We start from the raw sequence: 24,285 nt of genomic DNA, 5'->3' as shown, positions 1-24,285 counted from the left end.
GAGGAACTTAGCAAGGCCTGTTTGTTCACATTCTCCCTGTGACTCTGTCTTCAGAGATGAGGATGTTCTTTTCTTCCAGGTTTGGGGAGGGCACCTCCAGAATGAGGATCATGACTTGCTTTTAGCAAAAGGTTAGAAAATTCTTCCTAGATTTTATGACCTGCTTCATGGAGGAAGGGTGGGAGGAAGGTGGGAATGACTTTCCTGCCTCTGATGTTTTCTCAGATGCTAACATGACTTATTCTGTATTTTGGGGTAGCATGTCCTGAACCCTATCAAGAGGGAAGAAGTTTTTTAAAAATTAAAAAATACTATATATTTATTCAGTGCTTTCGGTCATATTGCTATTGTGAAGTTATTCAGTATACTTTTGTTGTTAAAGAGATTCATAAACTTTTTTCTTGCTTTCAGAGCATTTCAATGGAGTTGTATAATGGAACATTTATAATACCTGGGAATTACCGTACAGATCACACATGACTAATTATTCAGGTGGTCAAAACAATAAATTATACTTGACCATAATTTCTGCTGAGGGGCATGCTCGTGACTACTAGAAACTAGGCCAGGGTCCAGGTGAGGACTATAGTCCTGGCTCATGGACGTGCCCTGGTTGGGATTGAAAACATCCACATTCTAGTTCAGATTTTGCTCTGCACACTTGAGTGATCATGGGCAAGTGTCTTTGCCCTTCAGGACTTTAATCTCTTCCTTTGTGAAATCTGAAAGATGGGCAGAGTTCTTTTGGCTGGTAAAAATCTGTGCTTCTGAGGCCTGCCTTATACAAAACCATGGAGCTTATTGACTTTAAATTTGAGGAGGGAGGACATCAGGCCCTTTGTCTTGTACTTCTTTCCCTGATCCCATCTTAGAGGAAGGGATGTGATAGATTTAAAATTTTGCTTTGAAGTACTTTTGCTTTTATTATTTCTCTTTTTTCAAGCATTTGTATTTCAATCTTACATTTAATTGTGGGATTCTGGGATTAACCTGTTATATCTAGTTAAAGTAATTTTAGTCTTTAGTAAAGTGATTAGAGGATGCTAATCTTTTCATCTATGTACTCATTCAACAGTGTTCCTGACCTCCTGAAATTGTTCTGGTTTTGATGGCTAAGGCACCTTAGTCATTTGAGACTTGAGGACTTAAATGTCTACAGAGGCCAGGCTGATAATATAATTTAGTGAATTGGATCAAGTGTAATAATTTTGATTTTCAGTATAGTCATGTTTCATTTTCAGTTCTATAGCTAGTATTTGACCCCAATACTGGAGCAATAATAGAGAAAGGTGTGGGCATTGACTAACTGGAAAGTTTATGACTCTTCTAAGAGGTCATCTGCTACCAAGTTCTGTTGTCATCTGGGGATGTGGGCTGTGTTTTGCCAGATTTTCTAAATGTTCAGAAGAGATATGGTTGTGGGCTGCTGTTTTCTGGTCTCTGTTTTATTCTTTGTGGGCAGGCTACCTTGGACCCTGTTCTTAACAAATGCCTGAATGGGAAATAGCTGTCCAGTTAATGTTTGTTCAGGTCTTCTGAGTGTATCGTAGGTGGTGGCAGGTGATGTCTCTGCTCATATGATTTCTGCTCATATGGTTTGTGTCATCTGAGAAAGGAAAAGACAGAGAGGTTATTTGGACAAGAAGGACTGGAAGGATAACTCTTCCTCTGTGTACCTTTCGGTTGACTATATGAAATCAGTCATTACAAAATTTCTTTGTTCTGTAGTAACACATTCCTTAAACTGGATAATTTGGCAGCAAATCTAGAAAATTGTAAACATTCATAGCATTTCTTAAATTAAGGACCATTTTCTTCCTCTTTATCTTCTTCTGTTTCCATCATTCTTGCACTCTTTCTCTAGCTCTTTTCTACTCCTTTCCTTCTTTTCCGTGGCATGAATTTTTGGCCTATTTATGATATATAGCATACTTCAGACACTGTGTAGATATAAAATCTTGTAAAGATCTGGGCCCAAATTTTAAGGAATTGACAATCTAGTCAAGACCAACCTTAAAAGGTATTGAGAATTCATGGTAATTGATATGTGAAGAAATATATTTATAATGCATACATATTTTTCGGTTATATGTAAATATAACCAAATTTTTGGTTTTGGGTTATATGTAAATTATAACTCTGAAGTAGGTAACAAACTCCTTAAGGTCAGGAGGACTTTTTCTCTATGCTGAAGTACATTTATAATGATAGGAAGCTGGCAGAACTCTTAATTACTAAAGATCATTTATAACTTGGCACCTCTAAAGAGTGTCATTTACTTCTGAGTTATTTACATTTGACCATAAGTCCTTTGCCCTGACCTTATGATTCTTATTTAGGATGGAATTTTTAAGATGAGCCTTTCTCCAGATGGGATGCTCCTGGCAGCCATTCACTTCTCAGGGAAACTGAGCATCTGGGCGATTCCATCTCTGAAGCAACAAGGGGAATGGGGTCAAAATGAGCAGGTGCGTCTCTTGGTTATTAGAATGATACTCTCTTAAGGGTGAGTATTGACAATACTAATTTTATTTTATTGATATTTTACTATAGTACACAGCTGTTTATTCTCATCGTTCCAAAGCTCTTCTATCCTTTAAATTATGATATCAGTACAGTGGGATAAATTAAAAATAGATTAATACTGTGGACTAATTTTGAATTGTAGTGTGGTACACTCTGTATACAGAGTGTAATCTGTAAAAGAGTTTGTTAAACTCTTCATTTTTTCCCTCTTTGTCATTCAAAAGTACAGAATGGAGATGTTAACATTTCAGCAAAAGTTAATATTATCAAGGATTTGGAGGGTCAAATCCTAAAAGGGTTACAATTCTTTTCAAATCTTGCAACACTAGTTATTTGGGGCCTCCTTGAAGGGAGTTACCTTCTCTTCACTGAAATGTGGATAGCTAAGATATAGAGAAGGATGGAACTCTTTGTTAGTGTCCTGGAATGATAGGTTTTAAGGATTAGATGATTTTGTTATGTAGTGACAGAGTAGCACTAGTTAGTGACATATATTATAATTTAAATTCACAAGGGGAAGGAAAGGTCTGCTCATATAAAGCCATGTATTGTGATAGAGTAAAGGTTTAAAGAAATTCCTCAACTGGAAATAGCTTGTATTATAAATCTTTTACTCTGATTCACTTACATTTTACCATTTTAGGGATTAATTTTCCTTCTCTCACCCCCTCACTCTGTTTTTCTCTAGGCATATCCAGCTTTGGGTGGGTGGTTTGAGATTTTCATATTAGAGCCTATTTCCTGAATGACCTGAATGGATCAATGTCATAATTGAGAGGATTATTGATAAGGAATTTTTCTCAGAATGACAGAGGAAAAGAGAAAGTGACTCTGTATTTTCTTCCTCGATTCACTGGTTTAAATTTATTTGTTTTAGATATTCTTATTTTTTTGTCTTATACACAGCTTTAGGAAGATATTTTCTCCCTGGTTTCCATTCAACTTGAAGTTAATATGATCTCCACATGTTTACCACTCTTTCTCCCTTATTGGATCTAGATTTGTCCTCAGTGGCAGAGGTGCTCCTCAGCTTACAACCTTGGTGGCTAAATAAAAGGGACAGTCTTTCTCTCTGCTCTGAAATTATAGCTAACTTCACTCATTTCTTCTTTCTAGAGGTGAAGTGATGAACTCTCAAAACTGTGTAATGTATTTAGCTGGGGATGTCAGGCAGCAGAACTTCCACTTGGCTGTTCAAGAGCTGACTGAGGATGGGAGTGTAGGCTGATTTATAGGGCATATATTTCATATCACTGACACAGTTGACCCTACAGCAACATGGGTTTGAACTGCATGGGTCCACTCTGTACATAGATTTTCTTCAACCAAACACTGATGGAAAATACAGTCTTTGCAGAATGTCACATCTGTGGATAGGGTAGGTGACTTTTTGTATAGGTGGGTCCAGCAGGGTCTTCTAGGGGGCTTGAGTGCATGTAGATTTTGGTATACCTGGAACCCTGCATATACCGAGGGATGACTCTACTTCTTGATGCACAATACATGAAGTCCATGTTTCATATCTATGTTCAAAATAAAGCATTATTCATTTCATTGATCCAAAAGATACTTCGTGTTTTTCATGGTTATCAATGCATGATGATAAAGTATTCAGCTGTTTTCGTTTGAGAGGAGCCTGATGTTCTCTCTGTATTTGGGAAATTTTAGATTTGGGCAACATTTTTCTAAATGGTGAAAACTTTGAATAATAAAGGCATTTTCCCCCCTTGGCTTTCTGTTTTTTAAAATTACTTTTATTCACCTAGTAGAAATATTTATCAATTTCTGAAGCACTCTTAATATTTCATATTCTGTGTATCCTAGTACGTTATACATCCAGTGTAAAGGCTATTCTGAGCAAAATTGATTAGTATGCGCTTTTGTTTACTGAAAATCCAGAGACTTTTTTTTTTTTGTCCTGCAAAGATAAATTGAATCTTTTTTTGTGGCCCTTATTGGAATATGCTCAACCTTTGACTGGTTAGCATTTTTTTTTTGGTCATTAGTTGCCAGTCAATGCTATAATAATGCATTACTCTTTACTCATTAATATAATTCATTGATTAGATTTTTAGAGTGGTTCTATTAAAAAAAGTAAAAGTTGTTTAAAAACCTTAAAACCAGAGAATGAATAAATGTAAATATTTCAGTAGTTTGAAATATGCAGTCAGAAAAGTAATGGGACAGGAAAGGGAAAGGGGGGGACCTCAGAAATTGAAAAAATGTGTATGTAGTAGGAAGAGAGGCATTCAGGCTAGAAGTTGTCATGCCTTAGCAAAAGTGTTTTGAACAAATACCCTGAGAGTCTGGAAGAATAATTCATGAGGAATTGTGTAGCTTGGCTGTTGAGCATCCATTTTGTGGATGTGGCTTTGATTCCATGTTCCTGAAACAGTCCTCAGATAGAGCTTTTGACTTTTAAATTGATCTGTCAATCAGGGGAGCTATGCAACTTGATTCTCAAGCTAGTTGTTTCTCTTATTATAAATGTACACATTTTTAGGATTATATGTCATTTTCTTCTGATGTGGGTGGTATGAATTATTTCCCTTGAATGCCTGAGTAAACTGGAAAAATAGATTTTGGGGCTCACAAAACTGAAAACCATGGACGTAGTTGCCATTACCAAGGATGTTGTATGAGTCGTGGTGTCCTTTGCTGAGAGAGCAGTGGCTTAGCTATAGTTACTGACCCTGATACTGCAGACTACCATTCCCATTGTGGCTCTGTCCCTTCCCCGGTTCAGAGTTCATCACAGCACAGGCCGGGGTCGGCCACCCCTCCCTTTCCTGCTGCTGTTCAGCTGGACTAGCTGGATAGGGCAGACTCTGCCCTCTGAGACCCTAGCCAGTTTTAGCCTCAAAGGAAGTTTTGGTCCCAAGTAGGGAACATGGAAGGCATTTAATTTTATTTCTTTTTTTTTTCCTTTAAAACCCTAAGGCTGTGGTGAAAATGAAAACTCCTCTGTGAACCTGTCATCTCCTGCAGTCTGATCATCATGCTGCTTTGCTCTACTTCCTAGATCCTCTTGTCCTGCTCTCTACTTTCATGTAACCATTTCTGCCGTACTTTCCAAAACTTCATTCCATTGTAAACACGCCTGTGAGGCTTCAACCTCTTCACAGACACTCTGGTTTCTTTCTGTATGCTAATTGCATACTTGTATAGCTTAATAGGAAGAAGGTACAGGAATAAGATCGTCTTGTAGCTTTTACAAAATTTACCCTAACTACATTTATTATTTATTGAGCACTTTGTCCTATGGTTGTGCAACAAGTAAGCAATAGAGCTGAGATTTGATTTTATACCTCTCTGACACTGATGCATATGTTCTTTCCATGACTGTGTGGGAAAGAAATACATAAAACAACAAAAAGATAAGTGGAAGAATACTTATTTATTAGGCTAGCGAATGCCAGAGTGTACTACACACATTTTTTCCCACAATACTTGTGTTATTAGTTATTTAGTGGCATCCTATTATTTGAAAGATCAGATTTGTATGTAAAAGGTTAGGAGGACTATAATCACTCTTTATAATTATTAATTTTTTACATTGATTCTTTTTATTTGATGATCTTTAAAAACACAGAGACAAATCCTTTTTCTCGGTGGATGTGATACAGATTCCTTCAGCTCTCTCAGATATGCTTAACTCTTGAGCTAGTTAGTGTGTACCAGATACCAGAATAAATAATTGGGGAAGCCTCTCATTGGTAAACCCTTAGCTTTCTAATAGATATCTAGAGTACTCATGATGTAGTGGGGTTGGGGGAAGGTGGTAACTTTGTCAAGCAAGAAGAGTTTGAACAACCATAGTTTCTTTGAGTCTTTCACCTGTATCCTGGGAATCAATCACTTGGATGTTTTAGATTTGAATTTTAGCTTATGAATTACTAAAATCTAGTGTATTATAGTAAGTATAATAAAGCCTATGTGTAACAGGACTGTACAGTAGAGTAGGTTGTTCCTATTTACGTAATAACATAATGGTGAAATAATAAAGTTCAAGTATTTATTGACTCTACTAAGAGCTCCAGTAGGGAATACAGTGTCATAGTCCCTGCTCTTAAGATATTCACAGGCTTCCAAGGGAAATTATGAACAAATGATTAAAATGACATGTTAATATTTTGAGAAGATAAGCTCAGGAAAGGCATGTAGGTCAGCTGATAGTGTTGGGGAGAAGGATTATTGGAAATAAATAGTATTTGTGTAGTAAGGCTTGACTATTTACAGAGCATAGTTTTCATTTGTCTCACAACAACCCTATTAACCCATGTATGCTGGAGGTGGCAAATTTTTTTTGTGAAAAATCAGACCTTGGCCATGACCTTGAGCAGTAGGATTTAAATAACTCCCACAAGCTTAGCATTCCAATAATGGAACACTAGGCATAAATGGGTGGGAATGGTGCTAAAAGAGGTTAACTTGAGATCACTAAATGTTAGAGTCAAGATTCCATTTTGATTGAAGTCTCCTGACTTCATAGGTTAAGCCTTTTTTCAGAATATCTACTTACAGTACTTACATTTAGAAGTATTGACTTTTATCTGGGTAAATCAGAGACTAGCATATGATATTAATGGTAAGCAAGGGAGATATATCAGCTTGAAGTTTATATGAATAACATCCCCTGGAGTCACGCAGTTCATTATGTAGAGACCCTAGAAATGTGCAAGTAGTAATAACTGAGAGGTGTAATACAGTTGTTTACCAAATATGTAAAGTGGCTGTGTGTACTCATCACTGGAATCCTTTAAAGAGAAATCCCAAGCTTTGAAAAATACTGAGACAGCTACTCTTCTTTCATGTCTCTAGTAATAATCAAGTGAGCTTGGATCAGCCAGGTAGGGCAGAGTTTCACCTCTCTTTATGGCTGCTCTAGTAAGTAGACAAACCGATTAGTTTCAAATCGATGATATGGTGATATTTAAACTAGTCAGCTTATAATTTTAGTTTAAATGTTGTCTGAGAAGAAATTAATGTTGCTGCTACCCTGCACAGCCTTAAACCTCTTTACCAAAATTGTGAATTCAACTCATTTGGGGCTTTCTTCATGCAATTTGCCGCTTTATTAGTTTTTATAATATGCTTTGTGTGATTGAGTATTTTCTCTGTAAAACCTAATGATTAAAGATAGTTGTGGAAGTGCCTATTCTGATTTACTAATATCCAGTTTTGAGTTGATTAAATACTTTGGCTTTCATTGTCAATATGAAAATCCATCTGGCTAGAAATCTGTGAGTATTAAATTTTGTTCATGTCTGGAATATAGTAAAATTGCTTAAGTGATTTTCATTTCAAACATTTCCCATATGTTATGTTTATATCTTTACATCTCATTTTCGGCCTTAATTTTTCTCTCAAGTTTTATTATTTGTCTATTTGTACTTCTTCAGGCCTAGAAATGGAATACAAACTTATGTCTTCATTGTCATTTTATTTTCTTTTTCACACATAGTAGGTGTTGGACTAATCTTAAGTAGATGAATGAAGAGTAAGTGGGAAGATGGCAGTTGATGCGATGAATCTTGATATAATCCACAGCTGTTTTCACAATTTCACCAGACTGTGAGTTCTTTGAGAATAGGCACTGAATATGTATTTCATCACAGACTCTCTTAGGCTTAACATAATAAATAATAATAAATATTTGTGGAATGAATAAGCCTTTGAAATGTTGCTTTTATGTTGTTGGAGGCAGGGATTTCATTATATTTAGATTTTAGTGGTAAAAACAATTAGCAAATAAAATTCTCAAGTCTAAAGAAAACATTACTTTAGCCGTAATAGGTTTTCTGTACAAAACCTATAACTATTCTTAGAACATCCTCCTTTGGGTTATGGCTGCAGTATAAAATGATGGCATATTAGGCTGTTTTCAGTAATGTGGTAGCATGAATATGTCGGGTGGGGAGACATGATACCTTACTGAACTCATCATAAGGATCACAGCTGACAGTCCTATAACAAAAGACAGGTTAACAAGAGAAAAGCATAACAAATTTATTTAAAAACAAATGATTTTCCTTGCTAACTTGAATTTGGAATGGAAGATGTAAAGATAAATTTTTACCTTCTCTTCTTGACCAGGCACTATAGTTAGAGATCCAGGAAAGCTGACTTTGTTTAAAAAAAAAAAAAAAATCAAAGAACTTCTTACCTTTCTTTGCTTGCCTTTTGTCAGTTGTTCCAGGATTTTGTCTGCAGGTTCCAGAGCAAGTCAGGTGTCTCAGCTGCCCCACTTTGGGTGCCAGAAACTGTTGGGGTGGAAAGGTGTGATACCTCTTCTAACCCATCATAAGAGGACACAGCCATCACTCCTATAACAAAAGACAGGTTAACGAGAGAAGCATGACAAATTTACTTAATCAACATTTTACATGACACAGGCACCTTCAGAAATGAAGGCTCTGGTTGGGTGCGGTGGCTCATTCCAGTAATCCCAGCACTTTGGGAGCCCTAGGTGGGTGGAATTGCTTGAGCCCAGGAGTTCGGGACCAGGCTGGGCAACATGGTGAGACTTCATCTCTACAAAAAATAAAAAAGTGGCGTGTGCCCATATTCCCAGCTACTCGGGAGGCTGAGTCGGGAAGATCACTTGAGCCCAGGAGGTCGAGGTTGTAGTGAGCCGTGACCACGCCACTGCACTGCAACCTGGGTGACAGAGAGAAACCTTGTCTAAATTAAATTAAAGAAATAAAGACCCAGGGAAGACTGTTTTTATGCTTAGTTTTGATGAAGAATGGACAGCCTTGTAAAAATATGATGGGACAAAAAGGTATGGCCTAATGGTGATAGACTGAAGGGGAAACCCAGCAAGGCCTGTCTGTCCAGATTCTTTTTGGCTTCTCTGTATAACATTCCTCTCCTACTGTGAGGCAGGAGCCCTCTGGAATAAGGGTCTTCAAGGGAGAAGGGAGAGAGCGATGTTTTTAGGTTTTATAGCTTCCTTTGGGGGAGGAGTTCTAGTTTCTGTGATGAACCTTGGAGAAGAAGAATTCTGGTTTCTGTGACTTGCTTTGGGAGACAAGGAGGGGCTTGAGACAGGAAGGCAGGAGAAGGTCAGTGGGACAGTATTTCTGAGGCCCTTTCGGTTGCTTCAGTTGAAAGTACTCAACATGCAATGCTGTTATACTTTGGGGTATTGTGTTCTGAGCTCCAGCAAATACAGAGAAGTGGCATGGAGGTTGCTTCTTGAAATGTATTCACATGGTGCCATGCAATGCTGTTATACTTTGGGGTATTGTGTTCTGAGCTCCAGCAAATACAGAGAAGTGGCATGGAGGTTGCTTCTTGAAATGTATTCACATGGTGCCAGGAGCTTTCTTGTGGGTCATGGGGAGTTTGGTGATCCTGTCCACGGAGCACCAGTTTACAGTGTGTATCAGATGTGGTGATGCATGGTCTGATCCTGAGTCTCTTCACGCATAGAGGCCCTGGGGTGGAAGGATGGTAAGTTGAGGCTAGCTTCAGTGCACATACATGCTTATTATCAAATTTTCAATGGCTCACACTTCAGGTACTCAAATACATGCACCTACATATTCATAGCAGCAGTGTTTACAACAGCTAAAAGGTGGAAACAATGCAGATGTCCATTAACGGATATATGGAGAAACAAACTGTGGTATATCCATACAATAGAATATGACTCATCCACAAAAAGGAACGAAGTGCTGATATGCGCTACAATGGTGGAAGGACTTTGAGAATATTATACTAAGTGAAAGATGCTAGACACAAAAGGTCACATATTTTATGGTTGCATTTATATGAAATATCCAGAATAGGTAAATCCATAGAGATAGGAAGCAGATTGGTGGTTCCTGGGGTCCAGGGGAAGAGGAAAAGGGAGTAACTGCATAATGGGCTAGTGGTTTTGCTTTGGAGTGATAGAAGTGTTTTGGAAGTGGATAGATGTGATGGTCACACAACATGGTAAATGCACTAAGTGCCCCTGAATTGTTCATTTAAAAATGGTTAATTTTACATTATGCTAAGATCACCTCAATAAAAAAGGATATCATTAACATCCCCCCTAAAAACCCCAAACAAACAAAAATCAAGATAATTAAAACCTGCTGACCTGGACTTATTAAACTGTTCTCCTTTTTTTCCCTGAATAAACTTTGTATTTTCCTGACTCTGTATTTTTGTTCACATTATGCTTTCAGACTGGAATGTTTTCCTTTATTCATTTTCCACATCCAAGTCTTATCCAGTCTTAAAAGAATACCACCATAAAACTTCTTTGTACCCCTTGAATTTCCTTCATCTTTCTTAAACCCATGCCCAAAATCCTCTGTCCATCCTTCGAAGGCCCCTATACCTTTTATCTATACCTCTCTTTGTGTAGGTAACAAATGTGATCTTGGATTATATTAATTTATATTAATTTATTAGCTCTCTGTGTGCTTGAGTTTTGGGACTGCAATATCGGTTTTTTTTTTTTCCTTTTGTCTCAGCATTTATTTATTTTCATTTTTTTAGAGATAGAGTGTTGCTTTGTTGCCCAGGCTGGAGTGTGGTGGTGTGATCATAGCTTACTGCAACCTTGAACTCCTGAGCTCAGTTGATCCTCCTACCTCAGCCTCTTGAGTAGCTGAGGCTACAGAAGTGTGCCACTGTGCCTGGCTAATTATTTTTATTTTTTGGGGAGATGAGGTCTTGCTATATCACCCAGCTAGTCTCAAACTGCTAGCCTCAAGCAGCTCTCCTGCCTTGGCCTTCCAAAGTTCTGGGATTACAGGCGTGAGCCACCATGCCTGGCCCCAATATGTTTTCACTAAATAGAAGAAATCACACTTTTGGGAGTGTGTAGGAAGCCTAGTACTATATCAGATAATTTTCCTATAGCTTAGATGTTAGAATTGAATTGTAATTAGAATTCAGTGACTTAAAATTTGGTTGATTGATTTACTTATTCGACATTTAGCTGCTATGACAGGTGGGCACTGTGATGGATCTGGGAATACAGGGATGAGTATGACAGAGTTCTGGAAACAGAAGAACACATCTTCACCTTGTGTTTAATGTCAAATTGACAGGAGCTGCCCATTATTTAAGCAGTGTGCAGGGAAGAGTCTAGTCCCAAGGTGACTGCAGACCCCGGTTCTAGTGCTTATTCGTGGTGCTCCTTCTTATCATTAGTTTTGACAAAGACATGCACACTTTGAATTCTCAAGTGAGAGTTATTTATTTTTAAAATTTCCTTAAGATTTCTTGTCAAATTTCATTTTGATCTGTATGTCCTTAAATGTATCCAAGGCTGAATCATAATTGTTGTTCTTTGAGGGGCTTAAGGTTTTTTACTCTGTATTTCCCTTGTGTACTCCAAAATGTAAGTAGGAAGGTACATGTGCCACGTAAATACATGGTGGCATGCATGTGGTTGGAGTATGTAGTACTCATGATTTGGAGGCATTGAAAAATTGTCAGGTGCTTTAAAATGACCAAATAAAGTTTCAGTTTAGTTGACTGTTTTCAATAATATGTATCTTATTTTTTTAAATGATTTTTCGAAACTTAGTCATCGTTTCTTATGATTAAGTAAACCAGGACACTCCATTTCTTCCCCTTGGTATATAAGTAGGCTTTTATGGTAATTTTTTTTCTGATTAAGTTTAAGACCGTGTCTTCTGTTCTCAGGGTCTGCTCTGAGTGATTTACCATAATAGTGGAGAATAGGAAGTTCTTCCAGGCTGTGGAAAGAAATAGCTCTGAAGTGTGAGCCATTGAAAAATTGATAGTAAACATGTGTGTATTTTGTTGCATTAGATGAAAAAGCACAGTTTTTTGACTTAAGTATAGCAACGCTTTTTTTAGATTTCAGATTTCAAATGAGCACCCCAACTATTTTTTTACTCTTTGCCCATACTATTGTAATTCCAGAGACTAAGAAGGGAACACTAAGCCAAGAGGTCGTCAGGTAATGGCTTATTCTCAAATTGATATTTGAGAGATATCAATGTGCTGTTATATTCTCAAAGAAGAGCATGACACCATATTGCCCTAAGATTACAGTATGAATGGATTCATTTTTAGGAAGGACTGCATGGTTATATTTTTTTTACCTGGTAAATTCTTAGTCATAAAAAGGACTAGGAGGTAACATGGAGGTTGCCTAGTCAAGTCTCAAAGCTTTGAAAATTAAAGCCTGGAGGGGTTGCTCAGTTTATAAGTGGCTGGGATAAGATCTGTATCCAGGCCAGTGTTTATTCATCACATGTGTGCATGTGTATAGGATGAATTCTTAGTGTATTTTGCTTTCATATGTATTGATTGTATACTTGCTATCCTGTTGTTCATATGCATGCTGTATTCTTCATAAATCAAGTCATAATATGTACATGTGCACATTTTAAGTGTAAGAACAATTGCTTTTCCAGACTATCATGGCAATAAATAGATTTCAATTAGTTGTAATTGAGAGATCAAGGGAAAGCGTCATCTCTTTATTTGAAAAAGTCCACAGTTCTTGATGATTTTCTTATAATTTTCTTACATAGTTCACTCAGGAAGTCATTATTTTCATATTTAGCCAGGCTATGATGACCTTAATCCTGATTGGAGGCTCTCTACTGAGAAGAGAAAAAAAATCAAAGGTGAGTTCTACGAAATGTGATAATTGAAACCTTAATATACTCCTATTATTATACAAGATTCTCTTTGGATGATATAAAAAGTCTCTAGATACTTTTGCTGCACTTTGGAAGAAACATCAAGATTTCATAGAGTTGGGTCAAGGCAACAGATCCAGTTTTCTGATGGTCAGGCTTTCCTAAAAGCTGGCTCTCCTGCCAGGAGCCAGCATTGAGATGGTACACTGAGTTCAATGCTTAGAAGCGTGCTCCTTTTCAGATGCCCTTGGGTGAGATCAAGCTTCATCAAAGAAGAAACACTGAGTAAAGTTATCTCGCGGGTTGGGGGTAATTAGGGTTAGGCTGGTGGGGCTTTCTTTGTCTTTGCATACATTTCCACGTTTTAAAGAAAAAATTTCTTTTTTACAATGAGCATATATTGCTTTTATAAGTAGAAAAAAATCAAGATTTACATTTAAATAAAAGTAATAATTGTCATTTGATTGCTAGATTGAAACAGAGATATTATAAAATCCTGTAGGGGTTACTTTTGAGATTTTTTCACTTTTAGTTTTTGACTGTGTTATTTTTCTTTAGGTGAAACTTTCTAAGTTAAATCCGTGATGAATTTTTAAGTGTCTTCAGTAAAATCAGTGATAGTTATAAGGTTCAGGCTCTGTTATTACAATATGCTTTTATGCCGGGCGCGGTGGCTCTTGCCTGCATTTTGGGAGGCCAAGGCAGGTGGATCACCCGAGGTCGGGAGTTCAAGACCAGCCTGGCCAACATGGTGAAACCCTGTCTCTACTGGAAATAAAAAATTAGCCAGGCGTGGTGGTGCACACCTGTAATCCCAGATACTCGGGAGGCTGAGGCAGGAGAATCACTTTAGCCTGGGAGGCAGAGGTTGCAGTGAGCCGAGATCGCGGGACTGCACTCCAGCCTGGGCGACAGAGTGAGAGTTCGTCTCAAAAAAAAAAATGCTTTTAGTTCACATTTAAAGAAGATTAAAAATATTGATTAATATTATGCATCAGGTTCCATGCTTTGAATTATTCGCTTTAAATAATCATCCAAAATATTCATCCAGACGTATTTTTGAGGAAAAGTACTACTTTGTCAAAGCAGAAATTAGAATTTGATTTTAGTGATTTGCTCCTCTTTCTTTCTACTTTACACTTAGTGATAAGCCCCAGGAACTCTGCTTTTCACATTTTCTTGAAATTTCTTATTTACATGGATTGCCTTAGGCTTACATGGGGAAAAAGTGTTGTTAATGCTTTTTATTTTCATTAAAACAATGAGTTAGTCTCATGGTTCTGAACTCCATATTTAAAATCTCTCTCTTCTTAGTCTAATGTTTAAATATGTTGTTAAATTTATGGTTTACTTTTACCTTTAAACCACATCATATGTTTTGTATAACAGGTGATATTCAAAAAATGTACAGTAAAATTATAATAAATATGGCATTGCCTTTTGAATGCCTTAGTTTGGTGAACCATAATTCATTTCCTTTTTTTCTTTTTGTTTTTTGGACAGAGTCTCGCTCTGTCGCCCAGGCTGGAGTGTAGTGGCACCATCTAGGCTCACCGCGACCTCCATCTCCCGGGTTCAAGTGATTCTCCAGTCTCCCCAGTAGTTGGAACTACAGGCACGCACCACCATGCCTGGCTAATTTTTGTATTTTTAATAGAGATGGGGTTTCACCATATTGGCCAGGCTGGTCTCGAACTCCTGACCTTGTGGTCTGCCCACCTCAGCCTCCCAAAGTGCTGGGATTACAGGCGTGAACCACTGTGCCCGGCCCATAATTCATTTTCATTTCTAAAGATTCTTTGCTAGCCATAAATTTTTTTTTTCCCTCTCTGATTAGTTACAAGTTTAAGAGGAAATCAGCACTGGAAACTATTACATATCTGTCTTATATTTTTCTAAAGGGTGTATTTCTCTCAGTGTTTGTCTGAAAGTGGTATGTGTACATTTTTCAAAACATTATATGACCTTCATGTATGCACACCTGGTAGACACCTGCCTTTCAACTTAGGTTGAAAGTAGTGACACATCTCTCTCCTGAGTGTATTCTTGAAATGAAAGACCTCAGTTTATTTGCCTTTGTATCCTTAGAATTTTAGACCTAGACTGACAAATTGTTGGCGCTCAATTTGTCAAGGGAATTAACATTTTATACCTCATAGAGTAAAATTTTGAGAATGACTTACATTTTATTTTTTCTTATTATTTAACATACCATTAGGGCCCAAATAATGTAGATAAATTTTGTTTTAAAATTGATTATTATACTAAATATTTTGAATTTAAACCACATTAGCAGATGCATTTGTATTGATTTGTTTTTCGCTTCTTAGATAAAGAGTCCTTTTACCCACTGATAGATGTCAATTGGTGGGCAGACAGTGCAGTGACTTTAGCTCGATGCTCTGGTGCTTTAACTGTTTCATCTGTGAAAACTTTGAAGAATTTACTGGGAAAATCCTGTGAATGGTTTGAACCATCACCTCAAGTCACTGCTACCCATGATGGGGGATTTTTAAGTTTGGAGGTAAGGCTTTTTCCTGTTTGTTTGAGAATAGTTATGTATTTAACCAAAAATTTAAATATCTGGTTTTTATTTGAGTTGTCTTATTATCTTTTCTTTAAAAATAAAAATCTGTGATTGGAATCAGGTAATGGTTGTAGTATAAAAAATCCATTTTTTAGTGAATAAAAAAATTTGCAATTATAATGAAGAAAATTTGTTGTCATTTTGCTCTGTATAAAGTATTTCTTTTTCACTGAAATGATATATTTTTTTCCTCCCTCGATTAGTCATTTAAAAATGTAGAATGGTATCAGTACCTAAGAAAAATACTCTTTAACCCATTTCCAAAAAGCATGGCAACTTACAAAGTTTTTGATTCTTTTAGTAAGGAAACTTGTTTATTATGACAAAAGACTTGAAAATAGAGGCTAGTTCTGTAAAGTTATCTTTTGGTCATTTAAAAATTTTATTTTAAGCCTTTCAAGGGTAACAACCTTTAATAGCTTTCACTTCAGCAATGCAGATTGACATATTTTTTACTCTGAAGTTTGTTATGGAATCTAAAGATGTTCCTTAAAGAAAACTATGGCTTAAAATCTAAGCCAGCTCTGTTAAGTCTGGAATGAAAGTTATCTTTAACAGCCAGACTTTCAGACTCAGAACTTAGCAAAGCTGTTAGACATCTTTATAAGGGGGTGAGGGAGAGCTATTCTTGGTAAAACAAATGTAAGTACCTTTATGTTCATTCTCTAAAGAGACAAAAACAAATCATCAAATTATCAGGTACAAGACCTGATAATTATATGTACAAGACCGTATTAATGACCTGTTATTAAAACAGGCTTTAGGCTGGGCTCAGTGGCTCACACCTCTAATCCCAGCACTTTGGGAGGCCAAGGCGGGTGGATCAATTAAGGCCAGGAATTTGTGACCAGCCTGGCCAACATGGTGAAACCCTATCTCTAGTAAAAATACAAAAATTGGCTGGGCGTGGTGGCGGGTGCCTGTAATCCCAGCTACTCGGGAGGCTGAGGCAGGAGAATCGTCTGAACCTGGGAGGCCGAGGTTGCAGTAAGCTGAGATCACGCCACTGCATTCCAGCCTGGGTGACAGAGGAGGCTCCATCTCAAAGAAGAAGAAGAAGAAGAAGAAGAAGAAAAAAACAGGCTTTAGTTTAGATTTGAGCTGATAATGTATGTGCATATTTCTGATGTATATAATGCTTGCTGTAAGGTTCCTTTGAGTTCCATTGTTAATCTTGATCACATAGCTGATTTAATGAATCAAACCAGAGTAGATTTAGAAATATATTTTCTTTCATTAATTCTAAAAAGTTATTCTTATTTCCTTACTATTAACTTCAAATCTCCTTTTTCAATTTAGTGTGAGATTAAACTTGCCCCCAAACGATCTCGTTTGGAGACTAGAGCTGGAGAAGAAGATGAAGGAGAAGAGGATTCTGATTCTGATTATGAAATATCTGCCAAGGCTCGCTACTTTGGTTATATAAAACAGGGCCTTTACTTGGTGACTGAAATGGAGCGATTTGCACCACCACGGAAACGCCCACGAACCATTACTAAAAACTACCGCCTTGTGAGTTTGCGCTCCACGACACCAGAGGAACTTTATCAGAGGAAGGTGAGAGAGTAGCATATTACTACCCAAGTTTGAAGTCATCAAGCTTTTCTTTTATTGAGAAAAAGTTAATTTTTTAATAAAGGAGAAAATTTCAAGAGGGATGTTGGATCATTGACATGTTAAAAATATCAGTTCTATAAAGCTTTTTAAAATAATGCTAATCTTTGTACCTAAATAATCAAAATCAAAACCATGGATAAAAATTGAATTCACTTAGACTGATTATCCACTTGGTGGCTTAGCTCATTTCTTTGCTACCCTTCATGTGGCCTTCAGCTCTCCCTTTATCTGTGTTTAAATCAGCCATCTACAGAGGGTGAAGGAAGAAGTTCAGACTTGCTTTCTAGTCCAGGGCTTGCTTGGGAAGCCGAGGTGACCAGCACTGTGTGTTCACGTGATTTGTGCTGTTCTTGCAATGTCGTGGTAGGAGCTCTGGACTAGAAGCCGGGTTGTTCCATGGTTGTCTTGGTTTTGCCGCTGTTTTACTCTAAAACGAGAGCTTTGCACCTTTTATCTCTCATCTTTCTGTTGAAGTGCTGAAAGAAACACGAGATCTTTCTGCTCCTCAAAATATCTGTGAGCTTCTGGTGCCACAGTGCACAGGAATTAGTGACATGCTGGATAAGTCCAAGGGATTATCATCATTCATTGTATCATCATCAGGACCCTGTGGATAATTCAGTCATGTAACATTCCTGTCCTCGTGTTTTTATCTGAAGATTGAAAGTGAAGAGTATGAGGAAGCCTTGTCCTTGGCTCATACCTACGGCCTGGATACTGACCTTGTATATCAGAGGCAGTGGAGGAAGTCAGCGGTCAACGTTGCTTCAATTCAGAATTATTTGGTATGTTTAAATATTTTGGTAATGTGGTAAAATGTATATTCATGTAATATCTTTTGTTTATAGGGCTTCATTTTAGAGTACTTTACATTGCTGACTTTTCTATAATACAGCCAATGAAGTACAATTTTCTCAGCTGGAAAAATGGTCTTTTTGTTAGATTTTATTGCCCCTGCAACTGGACTTTGATGCTGAATACATGTGAACAAATATTCACAGATAAACCAGCTAACTACTTGGTCTCGGCCTAACGTTTTCTTTCCTGTACCACAATCACTTCTCTTTACCTGCATGAGTCAAGAGCTAGTCAGATGCCAGAAATCACACAGTAATTTAAACAGGGAAATTTACAATATGGAGAATTATTTTCTAGTAACCAGAGATGAACTATAAAGGATGTGAAGAGAACGCTAAGGACTACCCTAGGGCTGAAGGGACATATCCATGAAGGGAATGAACTTGGAAGGGAGGCCCCTCCCCTAGGCTGGGATTCAGACCCATTGGACCAGGAGTGGTTGCAGCATGTAGGATGGAAGAGAAGTTCTCTGGGTTGCCTTGAGCCAGGGCTGGTCCACGGTTGCCAAGGTTGGCAGTCAGGGAGATATGGGATGGATAGGAAAGCTGGACGCCTGCTTCTGGGGGGGGCCAGTGAGCTGAGGTTGGGGTTTAGAAGACCCCAGGGACTAGGAAGCAGGAAACCCCTACCAGCATGCATGTGGCTCAAGGCTGGTAGATAATTAAGGAATCATGGCCAAGACTGGCAAGAAAAAACTGTCTACTCCTATAGGCAGCCTTACTGTAGCTTCCAGTCTGGGAAGCTTCCCTCTCAGGTGCCTGGGTGATTCACTAGAAAACAATCTGCCCATGAGAGTGTCACTGAAACTCAGTGGGAGGTTGTCAACAGAGGGAGGAAGCGGGGAAGTAAGTGCCACTTGATGTTGCCCACGTGCCTTGTTGGTGGCCAAGCCATAGGAGCAAGAAGAAAAGAACCAAAGCACATCAGGACTAGAAAGCAGAGCCTCTTCCTTTGCAGTGGCCCTCCAGCACCCAGAGCTTAAAATCGTGTCAACCACAAATGAGATATGCTACCACAGAGCTGGCTTTGAGGGGAAATTTGGAGCTGAGAGGCAATAAATAGGTAACATATATGAAAACTGCGAAATATGCCTTTTTAAAACTTAAATCTCAAAACTGGATACTTCCTGTTACCTGCCTCCCATAGTTAAGGTTAATATAGTCTTGTCTCAATTAGTTTTAGCCGCTGCAACAAAAATATCAGACTATGTGGTTTCAACAGCAGAAATTTATTTCTCTTAGTTCTAGAGGCTGGGAAGTGCAAAATCAAGGTGTTAGCCAATTTCGTTCCTGGTGAGGGCACTCTCCTGGTTTGCAGATGGATTTCTTTCTTGCTGTGTCCTTATATGGCAGACAGCAGAGAGAGAGAAAGAAGGCTCTCTACTGCCTCCTCTTATGAGGACACCAATCCTATCATGGGGCCTCCACTCTCATGACCTAATTGCTTTCTAAAGGTCTCATTTCCAAACATCATCACTCTGGGGATTAGTTTTTCAACATATGGATTTTGGGGGACATATTGATTTCATAGCAAGCCTATATGTTTTAACCTTTGGCATCTTTGTAAGAAAGAATTATAGTTAGACTCATGGCATACTTTTAAAAAGGTTGAGACTTCTGATCTTAACATATAGAAAGGAAAATACCTTTGCATTGTGGAAGATTATAGGAAACACTGGGAAAATTTCATGATGATTATTTCCCTAAAAGTTTTATACGTTAGTAATTAAAAGTAAAAATATAACATGAAAAAGTTGTATGGAAGAAGATGATGCATCAGCCAAACAGGATGATAAACCTAACATTAATACAAGCAAGATATCAGAGGTGAAAGAGCATGAGAGGTAATGAAACGGAAGAAGATAAAGTTGCTTGTATTTTCTTTAGAAAATCAAAACACTAATTCTGTATTATTTTTCTTTCTTGTTTTGTGATCTAAGACAATGAGCTCATGAGTTCATGTATATCTTTTTCTGGGATACAGTAAAGGACAGTTTTTGTCTCTGAGGGAGTTGAGGGATGTTAAGAGAGACAAAGCAAGTACTTTTTTGGGGAGGGGAATATTTCGTTTAGTTAAATAGACAGTTAAGAGCAAGAGCACTATGCTAGGGACTGTGAAGGGGTACAGGACAGGCATAAATGTGGCTTTTGCTCATAGGGAGCTTATGATTTTTTTTGTTTTGTTTTGAGATGGAGTTTTGCTTTTTTTTGCCCAGGCTGGATTGCAATGGTGCGATCTCGGCTCACTGCAGCTTCTGCCTCCCTGGTTCAAGTGATTCTCCCGCCTCAGCCTCCCAAGTAGCTTGGGACTACAGGCACACAACACCACACCTGGCTAATTTTTGTATTTTTAGTAGAGACGGGGGTTCACCATATTAAAAATAACTGGCCGTATAAGTAGATTTCAGATACAACTCTAGAAACCCAGTGAAGATAGTGATTATTATAGATCTGGTAGAGATGGAAGATTTTATATAGTGAAGATGTTTGGAGCAGGGATTTGGAAGGATTTAAATTAGGCCTTCTTGAATGAGAAGGGAGGAAGACATTCTTAACAGGACAGATGGTATGAACAAATTAAAAGACACTGAGCATGATTTATGAGGCCAGTGACTAAATCTGTTTTATTCACTGCTATATTTCCATGTCTAGTTCAGTGGCTGGTGTGCAGTAGGTGCCCAGTAAACATTTTATGGATAAATGAGCTCTGTACATCAACCAGTTTGCTGGCACTGATATTTGACAATAGTGAACACTGGGAAACATGATTGAAAAGATATATTGATTTGAGTTCAGGAGGATGTGGAAAGCTTCTGATGACTTAGGCATTTATCTACTGTTGTGGATTTCTGACTGTGGAAGCAGAGGAAGATGGTGTAGAGAGAATTGGAGTGGAAGGAAGGTAGGAAACCTTGCTTGGGGCAGGGGACTCCTACAGTGTGCTAGATGTTTTGTGTTGATGATTTAGACTGGTATGGAGGCCGCAGCTGTGGAAAAGGGAAAGTGAATTAAGAGACATTTGAAGAAAGAACTGATGTGAGGCAATATATAAAGGATCCTAGGGAATGAGTCAAATCTTAATTAAAATTTATAACCATAATAGCTCTTTCTAGGAAGAGGGCAAGTCAGGGATTTTTTTTTTATTTTTTATTTTTTAATTATTATTTTACTTTAAGTTCTAGGGTACATGTGCACAACGTGCAGGTTTGTTACATATGTATACATGTGCCATGGTGGTGTGCTGCACCCATTAACTCGTCATTTACATTAGGCATATCTCCTAATGCTATCCCTCCCCCCTCCCCCCACCCCCCAGCAGGCCCCGGTGTGTGATGTTCCCCACCCTGTGTCCATGTGTTCTCATTGTTCAATTCCCACCTATGAGTGAGAACATGCGGTGTTTGGTTTTCTGTCCTTGTGATAGTTTGCTCAGAATGATGGTTTCCAGCTTCATCTATGTCCCTATACAGGATGTGAACTCATCCTTTTTTATGGCTGCATAGTATTCCATGGTGTATATATGCCACATTTTCTTAATCCAGTCTATCATTGATGGACATTTGGGTTGGTTCCAAGTCTTTGCTATTGTGAGTAGTGTCGCTATAAACATACGTGTGCATATGTCTTTATAGTAGGAAGATTTGTAATCCTTTGGGTATATGCCCAGTAGTGGGATTGCTGGGTCAAATGGTATTTCTAGTTCTAGATCCTTGAGGAATCGCCACACTGTCTTCCACAATAACAAAGACACAACATACCAGAATCTCTGGGACACATTTAAAGCAGTGTGTAGAGGGAAATTTATAGCACTAAGTGCCCACAAGAGAAAGCAGGAGAGATCTAAAATTGACACCCTAACATCACAATTTACAGAACTAGAGAAATAAGAGCAAACACATTCAAAAGCTAGCAGAAGGCAAGAAATAACTAAGATCAGAGCAGAACTGAAGGAGATAGAGGCACAAAAAAACCTTCAAAAAATCAATGAATCCAGGAGCTGGTTTTTTGAAAAGATCAACAAAATTGATAGACCACTAGCAAGACTAATAAAGTCAGAGATTTTGAATGGAGTTGGAGGAAATAGTTGGGAGGGAGGAATAGGACTTTGATCTTTCCAAAAAACAGCATATCATGACTTTTTATGATCAAGTTATTCACACCCTGGGATATATCTCATGGTCAAATAAATACAGAAATTTGATGGGCTCATTTGTTTTGTTTAAAAGTTAAACATGCTTATTAATTATGACAGAATATATCTTGCCTTTCTGCCTTATTGTCTGCTCTATTATACAGCCACGGTGCAAACCAAAGGCATTTATAAAAGTTAGGAGGAAACATTTTATATTTCCAAAAATGAGTCCTGAGCTTTCTGTTTCTGCGTAGCTCATTAGAGGAAGAAAGCAAGCAGGTCAACTCACACTCCCCGCATCCAGTTGTAGTCACCATTAGGCAACTGGCTGCTTTTCTCTTGAGTTCCTCTAGCAGCTCCCTATGGCCAAGGTCCTAAATAGCTGTAATACATCAGGTATAGCTTTACAATTCTGAAGGCAGTTGTAATGTGTTGTAAGATGTCATGGATTCTGTAATTCCTCTGTTTCTTCCTTTATATGCAGAGTAAAATAAAGAAGCGATCCTGGGTTCTCCATGAGTGTTTGGAAAGAGTTCCTGAAAATGTGGATGCTGCAAAAGAACTGCTTCAGTATGGATTAAAAGGCACAGACCTGGAGGCTCTTTTAGCAATAGGGAAAGGAGCAGATGATGGCAGGTTGGTTACAGAAAGAATTGGATTCAAAGTAAAGGTGACTTTGTGAAAACTTTTGTACTGAGACATTGGACTGGGTAAACTTTTCTTTATTTAAGTTATTCTGTACTGAAGCAGTTGCTTTTGATCAATACTGTCTTACCTGAAGTCATTGCTCATCAGGCATTTGGAACTTTTTAAAAAATATAAATATGAGAGTATATCTGAGAAGTAAATAATTAAAATGAGACTGACACTACCATTTGAAGACCTTAAGTAGAAGTGATTCAAATAGCAAACTCTGTGGACATTTTCAGCATAGGCTGCTTTACATTGAGTGAATGTAACCCCACATCTCTTCCTAAATAGTTTTCATTTTCTTGATTTTTAGATTTCTATTTGTAATAATTACTGATGACTTTTTGCCCATCTGTGGATATAATGAATGATCACTTTGTTTACAATGGCAAAAGTTTTTTTCAAATACTTTCTTCTGTTTTTGTGGAAATCAATAATGAAATCAGTCAAAATAGGAGAAAGCTTTTCACAACACGAAGTTTTTAAAAATGATGAAAATATATTTGTTCTTTTATACTTGCAGATTTACATTACCTGGTGAAATAGACATTGACAGTATCTCCTATGAAGAGCTTTCACCACCTGATGAAGAGCCTGCCAAGAATAAAAAGGAAAAGGAGCTCAAGAAGAGACAAGAACTACTGAAATTAGTGAACTTTTCCAAGTAAATGAGTTGTTACTGTTCATTTGATAGTTTCTTTAAAATAACTAATCATTTCAGTGTGTTCCTTACTAGTAATAATTAGTCCAAATTATTTTAGCAACTTAGATCAAATGTACTTACTATTATCTTACCCTTGTGCTTTTCTGAACTGTTTCATGAGTTTTGGGCTCAACGGAATATTAATCATTTTCATTATAACTCCTAGAGAAATAATTCTGTGTAAATATAAGTGGCCTAACATAGTTATTCAAAACAGGTTGACACTGGAACAAAAGGAACTTTGCCGTTGTAGACGGAAGTTATTAACCTACTTAGATCGACTTGCAACATATGAGGTAATGAATAATTTTTGTCAAACCAATTATGTTCATTTGATCTGTCATTATAAATGCTATGGCTGCCCTAATATCGGATATTCTTGGTCTTTAGAACTATTTTTCTGGGAAAAATTAATTTCTTATAGAAGCAAGTTCTCTTATATACTAGTTTTGGTAAAAATTAGAGATTGTGAAAGCCAGAAGTTGTTTTGTTAGACTAGGGAATAGAAGTGCCTTAGCCATTTCAGTGCATTTGTGTTTTCTAGATTT

The 24,285-nt window shown here is 37.6% G+C and overlaps 1 protein-coding gene across 9 annotated transcripts in view; it reads left to right on the top strand.

The window, feature by feature from the left end:
• Nucleotides 1-24,285, top strand: part of NBAS (NBAS subunit of NRZ tethering complex) — a 782,426-nt gene that overhangs the window by 69,973 nt on the left and 688,168 nt on the right. For 7 of the 9 annotated variants that reach the window (XR_007076390.1, NR_052013.3, XM_017004317.2 and 4 more), the window contains 8 exons: nt 2,340-2,468; nt 13,073-13,136; nt 15,482-15,675; nt 17,038-17,295; nt 18,015-18,140; nt 22,829-22,980; nt 23,558-23,698; nt 23,955-24,033. Coding sequence is in view for 7 of the 9 variants with exons in the window: in XM_017004317.2 (XP_016859806.1) it covers nt 2,340-2,468; nt 13,073-13,136; nt 15,482-15,675; nt 17,038-17,295; nt 18,015-18,140; nt 22,829-22,980; nt 23,558-23,698; nt 23,955-24,033 (1,143 nt within the window). In the remaining 2 variants the exon portion in view is untranslated. The remainder of the gene's footprint in view (nt 1-2,339; nt 2,469-13,072; nt 13,137-15,481; nt 15,676-17,037; nt 17,296-18,014; nt 18,141-22,828; nt 22,981-23,557; nt 23,699-23,954; nt 24,034-24,285) is intronic. The other 2 variants (XM_047444734.1, XM_011510357.3) reach the window with 1 other exon arrangement.

Source organism: Homo sapiens, chromosome 2 (assembly GCF_000001405.40).
Source record: "Homo sapiens chromosome 2, GRCh38.p14 Primary Assembly".
Classification (NCBI taxonomy): Eukaryota; Metazoa; Chordata; class Mammalia; order Primates; family Hominidae; genus Homo; species Homo sapiens.
Note: the sequence above shows the minus strand (reverse complement) of the source record. Positions and strands in the feature narration are given on the sequence as shown.